The following is a 6,000-nucleotide window of genomic DNA, read 5'->3' as shown; positions in this document are numbered from 1 at the left end:
TACAGGTGTGAGCCTACTTGTATGCTATGGGATACAGGGCTGAGCAGAAAATAACCCAGCCCCTGCCCTCAAGGGGCTTACAGTCTAGTGGTAGGGACAAATATTAATCAAGCACTCAAGCAGTGTGAAAAGCCAAATGTAATTATCACCACCCCTGGAGTTACAGAGAGCTAGATGGCTGAAACAGCAGGGAAGGGACCCCTGAGCTGAGAACTGGTGAATGGGCTAACAAGCAAAGAGAGGGAAGAACATTCCAGAAAAAGGAATCGCATGTCTAAAGGCCCTAGGGAGCACAGGGACTAAAAGAGGCCAGCATGACAGGCAGAGAGGGATGGGAATAGAGAGGGAGATGAAGCTAGGAGGCCTTGTGCTTGTCAAGGAGTTTTGGCTTTATTCCAAGTACAGTGGGAAGCCGTTGAAGCTGGGAGCGTAGAGGGAGAGGGTAACTATAGCCTGATCAGATCCGATTTAGATAGTTCTGGCTCAGAACAGTCAAGTGGGGAAGAGTTGATGGGTTTCCTGGAAATGAAAGAAACTGACAAGTAGTGAATCAGATAAATACTTGGCTCAAGGTCATGTCCATTCCTGGAATCAACCCATATTCAAACACTCTTTGATTGGGCAGGGGTGGGGTAGGCAAAAAGGCCCACTCCCTTAGTCAAGGCAGGATGTCTCTGAACGGTGGTCCTAGTCCTTGAGCTCCCTGTGGGATGACCAAGACCTTAAAACAAAGATAAACATGTAGAATGATCGGCCCAGGATTTCAGAGAAGAGTGAGGAGGACCCTGCTTCCACCTGAGCAGCGGGATGATCCTGTTCCACCCAAGGCAGGGGTCCCAGTCCTAGAACCCGCCCCTTCCTTCCTCCTCCTGATCCCCAGAAGAACGGTGAGCTCTGTGTGTGTGTGTGTGTGTACACCTTTGGCTCTAGGATCCTGGTTCTTACTTTCTCACCTACTTGTTCTGTGACTTTGAATAAATCCCCTTCTCTCTCTGGGCCCGTCTCTTTATTGGAAAAAGAGGAAGTTGAAGTAATCAGTGACTCAACTTTTGGGGTGGTTCACAGACCCTTTGAGAGTTTGTTGAAAGCTATGACCATTATACACATAATTTCTGGCAGTTGCAGGGGTTCCTGTAGCCCTGGGGTGGGGCTGGGTAGCAGGCTTTACCTGGGACTCAAGTGAAAAATCCTTGGATGAGACATCAACAGGCACCTTTTCTGATGGCCTGCTAAGAACCAAGTCTCATACTCTGTTCTAGTCCTCATCTCAATCCTTTAACTTTTTTTTTTTTTTTTTTTTTTTCAGATGAAGTCTCACTCTTGTCCGCCAGGCTGGAGTGTAATGGCATGACCTCGACTCACTGCAACCTCCGCCTCCTGGGTTCAAGCAAGTCTCCTGCCTCAGCCTCCCTAGTAGCTGGGAGTACAGGTGCCTGCCACCACGCCCGGCTAATTTTTGTAGTTTTAGTAGAGACGGGGTTTCACCATGTTGGCCAGGCTGGTCTCGAACTCCTGATCTCAGGTGATCCGCCTGCCTTGGCCTCCCAAAGTGCTGGGATTATAGGTGTCAGCCACTGCGCCCGGCCATCACAGTCCTTTAATCATTACTTTTCCCACTTGGAGCTCGGAGATAGCACTTAAGTGACTTGCCCAAGCTGAGAAGAGCTGAAGCAGGACCCCCAAGCCAGGTCTTTGTGAAGCTAAAGACTGTTCTCCCTGTTCCAAAGGGAGACATCACTACTCTTACCCTTTCCCCATTCCGCCACTGCCCCCATAATACCACACATTTTAGACCTCATAGCCCCCTCTTTTTTGTATTTTTTTAACCCCAAAGAAGGCAAACGAGGGTTGCAGGTTTATTTATTTATTTATTTGAGATGTGGTCTCATAGTATTGCCCAGGATGGCCTGAAACTCCTGGGCTCAAGAAATCCTCCTGCTGCAGCCTCCTGAGTAGCTGGGACTACAGGTGTGCCGCCATTCCCAGCCTTTTAAATTTTTATTTATTAGACATGAGGTCTCGCTATGTTGCCCAGGCTGGAGTGTGGAGGCTATTCATAGGTATGATAATCGTGCACTACAGCCTCGAACTCCTGGGCTCAAGCGATCGTCCCATCTCAGCCTCCCAAGTAGTTGGTACTACAGGTGTGCACCACCCCACCTGGCTGTATTTTCAACTCCTGTCATGGAGCAAGGTTTACCTTATGAAGTAAGATAGAGGATCTGAGGCCTCGATAGGCTAAGTGGCCTACAAGGTCACATAGCAAGTGAGTGGTCGAGTTGAGAGCTAGAGACAGAGGACATTTGTGTTCACCTTGGAAGTCCCAGTGAGGACGAGCCTTACCTAGCTCCAACTCAGAAGGCCAGAAGGAAGAATGGTTTGGGGGAGGCTGTAATCAGGGGAAGGATGCAGGGCCCTGGGGTGAGCCCTAAATAAGGGGCTTCCTGTGAGCCTGAGGATGGCCATGCCCTTGTATATACTTTGTCCTCCAGGCAAGTTCTCTGCTGGCCCTTTAAATCTTCTCAACAGCTCTGGGTGGGGCATCTATCCCCACTTTACAGATGAAGATACCAAAAGAACTTCATCCAGGCCAGGCATGGTGGCTCATGCCTGTAATCCCAGCACTTTGGGAGGTCGAGGCAGGCAGATCACTTGAGGTCAGGAGTTTGAGACCAGCCTGGTTAACACGGTGAAACCCCATCTCTACTAAAAATACAAAAAATTAGCCGGGCGTGGTGGCGGGCGCCTGTAGTCCCAGCTACTCAGGAGGCTGAGGCAGGAGAATGGCATGAACCCGGGAGGTGGAGCTTGCAGTGAGCCGAGATTGCGCCACTGCACTCCAGTCTGGGCAACAAAGCAAGACTCCGTCTCAAAAAAAAAAAAAAATACAAAAATTAGCTGGGCGTGGTGACACGTGCCAATAGTCCCAGCTACCGGGAGGTCAAGGCAGGAGAATCGCTTGAACCCGGGAGGTGCACTGGACTCCAGCCTGGATGACACAACAAGACTCCATTTCAAAAAATAAAATAAAATAAAATAATAAAATAAGATAAAATAAAATAATATTAAGAAAAAAAAAGAACTTCATCCAGCTCCTGTTCAGAAGTGACCACACACACACTGTCTTCAGCATCCCTCCCAAGTTCCCCTGGTCCATTTCTCAGGCCTCATCTTCCTGCCCATCTCCATCTTACCGTGCCCTTATTTACGGTGTTCTTCCCTTTTCACCCTCTGAAACTTCGCACCTGTTTTCGCCTTTGCCTGGAATGTTGCCTCCTTCCCCCACTGAACTCCTTCCTACTCATCCTTCAAGATCCTATGCCACAGTCTCCCCAGTCATGCAGCAAAATGGGACAGATTGCCATCTTCCTTCCCATTTCCCTCTCAGCTCTCACCCCACGTTTCCTTTTTTCTTTCTTTTTTTTGTTTTTGAGATGGAGTTTTGCCCTTGCCGCCCAGGCTGGAGTGCAATGGCGCGACCTCGGCTGACCGCAACCTCCGCCTCTCTGGTTCAAGCGATTCTCCTGCCTCAGCCTCCCAAGTAGCTGGGATTACAGGCATGCGCCACCATGCCCACCTAATTTTGTATTTTTAGTAGAGATGGGGTTTCTCCATGTTGGTCAGGCTGGCCTCGAACTCCTGATCTCAGGTGATCCGCCTGCTTCGGCCTCCCAGCGCCCAGCCTCATCCCGTGTTTCTAATCAATGGCTTGTGTCCATTTTCCTCTGCCACACACTGGGCTCTCGTGTGTTTGCCAAAGGAGTGAGGGAATTCCAGGAACCCTCCTGAACCACCCAGCCTCAACTGGTCTTTCAGTTCCTAAGAACAGCAGGACATTTAAAGTCGATGCCTGTAATCCCTACTGCTGACTTCAAGTATCAAGTTTATAGTTGCTGCCCCCATCCCCTTCGTTTTTACTCCCTTAGCCGCCTTCTTTTTTTTTTTTTTTTTTTGAGACGGAGTCTCACTCTGTTGCCCAGGCTAGAGTGCAGTGGCACGATCTCAGCTCACTGCCAGCTCTGCCTCCCAGGTTCACGCCATTCTCCTGCCTTAGCCTCCCAAGTAGCTGGGACTACAGGCGCCCGCCACCACGCCCGGCTAATTTTTTGTATTTTTAGTAGAGACAGGGTTTCACCGTGTTAGCCAGGATGATCTCAATCTCCTGACCTCATGATGTGCCCACCTCGGCCTCCCAAAGTGCTGGGATTACAGGCATGAGCCACCATGCGCAGCCTCCCTTAGCCTTCTTTTATCCATCTTGTGCCTCGGCCCTAGGGGTCCTTGCTATGATCTTCCCTTTATCCAGCTTTCCATGTCCCCCCCAGGAGCCAGGCATTCTAAGCCACAGAGCTGACCCTGGAACCTGTCACCACTTACCTTCTAGGCTCCCATGGCCTATGAAACTCGCAGTACCCTTGCCTAAGGCATGCAGTGCCCGTCCCTAGCTGGCCCCCTGGAGGAGTCCTGTTTCCCACCCATCGTCTTTTCCACTCTCCATCCATCCGTTTTCTCTACCTTGTTAAAGAAAAAAACTAATCAGATTCTCGTTAAAGATGGCAGGGAAGCCAGGCGGGGTGGCTCAGGTCTACAATCCCAGCACTTTGGGAGGCCCAGGTGGGAGGACAGCTTGAGGCCAGGAGTTCGAGACCTGCCTGGGCAACACAGTGTAGTCCCAGCTGCTCGGGAGGCTGAGGTGGGAGGATCAGTTTAGCAGGGGTGTTCGAGGCTGCAGTGAGCTATGACTGCACCATTGCACTCCAGCCTGGGCAGCATAGAGAGATCCTTGTCTTTCTTTTTTTTTTGAGACGGAGTTTCTTAATGTAGGCCGGCCAGGGTGATCACATACCAAGCGTGGAGATATTCTTGACAGCAGGATTCTGGCTAAAACTGGACTAAGAAGGCCAAGGACAGAGCCCAAGGTCGGGGCCTGGTCAGAAAGAGGTCTCGGAGGAGCCTGACTCAAGTGTGATCAAGGGAAGTCTTGGTCACCCGCTGGCAACTTGGCTTTTTCTTGTCTCCCAGCCTCAATTCAAGCTCATCCCCCTTCCCTGCTCCATCAAAATCTCCTTGATTTCCAAGGCCAGCTTCAGTGTCTCCTCTCAAACTTTTCTGAGCCTTCCCTCCACGGGAATCCATTTTTCCTGCCTGGGCCTGGGGAGAGAAGTCCATTTCTCCTTCCCAAACCCAGAGACCATTGAGGCAGGAAAGCTCCCTGGCTGCCCCATAGGGCAGGGCAGGGTAGGCGGGGTTTAGTGACTCCCCGGCGCCGACGCTGACCCGCACCCCTGAGGAAGGGGTCTCCGGGGACGGCCGCTGTTGTCGCTGTCGCCTCCAGTCCCCGCCCCTTCCCCCCTCAGTGAAGGGGACCTAGAGTGAGAACTGGTGGTCACGTCCTACGCCTAGGAGGGCCCCTGGGTGTTCACCCACCCCCCCGGGGGGCCCCATCCTGGGCCAGGGTCCGCTTCCTCGAGGGAAGGGGCGAATTCCTGGAAGGTCTCCTTCCGGGCGCAGTTGCAATGGATTGCCTTGGGGGTGCTGAACCCTGCTGGGGGTACAGAGACGTTTCCGAAACTCAGCGGCTCGGTCGCCCCCAAAGGCCAGGCGGAACACACGCCCACACCGCGGCTCCCTTCCCGAAGTAAGACCGCCGGGCCACGGCCGCCCCCAGGAAGCCCCGCGCCCCGCACCCCACACCCGGGGACACAAACAGGCGCCGGGTAGCCGCGAGGGCCGGCGCGGCGCCTTTAAGAGGCGGCGGGCGGCGCTGCCCCCTGGCGGCCGCCCCGCCGCTTCCTCGCCGCCGCGGGCTCAAGCGGGGCGGCCGGGCCAGCGCGGGGCGGCGGCGGGCAGGGGCGGCGAGTGCGCGGGCGCTCGCCGCCGCCCTTCTCGGCGGGCAGCGCGCGAGGACCAGGCCGAGGAGGAAGTGGCGGCGGCGGCGGCGGGTGAGGATCTCTGGCCGGGCCGAGTGGCCGCGTGCGCCCCGCCGGGGTCCAAGCGCGC

General features: G+C 53.7%; 1 protein-coding gene across 4 annotated transcripts in view; it reads left to right on the top strand.

The window, feature by feature from the left end:
* Window positions 5,789-6,000, top strand: part of ITPK1 (inositol-tetrakisphosphate 1-kinase) — a 179,012-nt gene continuing 178,800 nt past the window's right edge. For all 4 annotated transcript variants that reach the window (NM_001142593.3, XM_047431351.1, NM_001142594.3 and 1 more), the window contains exon 1: window positions 5,789-5,942. The gene's annotated coding sequence lies outside the window, so the exon portion shown is untranslated. The remainder of the gene's footprint in view (window positions 5,943-6,000) is intronic.

Source organism: Homo sapiens, chromosome 14, assembly GCF_000001405.40.
Source record: "Homo sapiens chromosome 14, GRCh38.p14 Primary Assembly".
In the NCBI taxonomy this organism is placed as follows: Eukaryota; Metazoa; Chordata; class Mammalia; order Primates; family Hominidae; genus Homo; species Homo sapiens.
This window is presented reverse-complemented; position numbering and strand designations above follow the sequence as displayed.